This window comes from Homo sapiens, chromosome 15 (assembly GCF_000001405.40).
Source record: "Homo sapiens chromosome 15, GRCh38.p14 Primary Assembly".
NCBI lineage: Eukaryota > Metazoa > Chordata > Mammalia > Primates > Hominidae > Homo > Homo sapiens.
Genome location: NC_000015.10, coordinates 75,321,343 through 75,322,997, shown reverse-complemented (window position 1 = coordinate 75,322,997; position 1,655 = coordinate 75,321,343). Strand labels below are relative to the sequence as shown.

Genomic DNA, 1,655 nt, shown 5'->3' with positions numbered 1-1,655 from the left:
AAGGCCTAAGGTGGGCGGATCACGTGGTCAGGAGATCGAGACCATCCTGGCTAACACTGTGAAACCCCATCTCTACTAAAAGTACAAAAATTAGCCGGGCGTGGTGGTGGGCGCCTGTAGTCCCAGCTACTCGGGAGGCTGAGGCAGGAGAATGGTGTGAACCGGGAGGCGGAGCTTGCAGTGAGCCGAGATTGCGCCCCTGCACTCCAGCCTGGGCGACAGAGCAAGACTCGTCTCAAAAAAAAAAAAAAAAAAAAAAAAAAAAAAAAAAAATTAAATAAAAATAATGTCCTCTACGCTCCTGTGAGTAACTTGGCTCCGGGGGCTCCGCTCGCCTGCCCCCACGCCGCCCGCCACCCAGGACCGCGCCGCCGGCCTCTGCCGCGAACAAACCCTTCTGACGGCCCTCGCTGTGCAGGCCAGGATGCCTCTCCCCCATCCGCCCCCGCTGCGGAAAGTTAAGTTTGAAGAGGGGGGAAGAGGGGAACATGGACATGAAGAGGAGGATCCACCTGGAGCTGAGGAACTGGACCCCGTCAGCTGTTCGAGAACTTGTCTTGGACAATTGCAAATCAAATGATGGAAAAATTGAGGGCTTAACAGCTGAATTTGTGAACTTAGAGTTCCTTAGTTTAATAAATGTAGGCTTGATCTCAGTTTCAAATCTTCCCAAGCTGCCTAAATTGAAAAAGCTTGAACTCAGTGAAAATAGAATCTTTGGAGGTCTGGACATGTTAGCTGAAAAGCTTCCAAATCTCACACGTCTAAACTTAAGTGGAAATAAACTGAAAGATATCAGCACCTTGGAACCTTTGAAAAAGTTAGAATGTCTGAAAAGCCTGGACCTCTTTAACTGTGAGGTTACTAACATGAATGACTACTGAGAGTGTCTTCAAGCTCCTGCCCCAGCTTACCTACATGGATGGCTATGACCAAGAGGACCAGGAGGAACCTGACTCAGATGCTGAGGTGGATGGTGTGGATGAAGAGTAGGAGGGCGAAGAAGAAGACGAAGAAGACGAGGAGGATGAAGATGGTGAAGAAGAGGAGTTTGATGAAGAAGATGAAAATGTAGAAGGAGATGACGAAGATGAAGTCAGTGAGGAGGAAGAAGAATTTGGACTTGAAGAAGATGAAGATGAGGATGAGGATGAAGGAGGAGGAAGAAGGCAGGAAAGGTAAAAAGAGGAAGAGAGAAACGGATGATGAAGGAGAAGATGATTAAGACCCCAGATGACCTGCAGAAACAGAACTGTTTAGTATCGGTTGGACTGCTCATGGATTTGGTAGCTGTTAAAAAAAAAAAAAAAAAGGTAGCTGATACAAACCCCAGGACACCCACCCACCCAAAGAGCCAAAGAATAGTTCCTGTGACATTCCGTCTTCCTCCATGTAGTCCCTCTTGGTAATCTACCAATCTACCATCGAGCTTAGGGACTTCACCCCAACAAAATTGTAAGTGTTGTTAGGTTTTTGTGTGAGACTCTTGCTGTAGCGTAGATAGCTGTGATTGGTGAGTCAACCATCTGTGGCTACCAGTTACACTGGGACTGTAACAGCATTTTTACTTTCTGTACAACAAAAATCTTTGTAAATAAAATCTTAACATTAAAATAACAATAATAATAATAATGTTGATTGTATGCAGGTCTGGC

The 1,655-nt window shown here is 46.0% G+C and overlaps 1 pseudogene; it reads left to right on the top strand.

Moving 5' to 3' along the window:
- Nucleotides 292-1,416, top strand: ANP32BP1 (acidic nuclear phosphoprotein 32 family member B pseudogene 1; annotated as a pseudogene).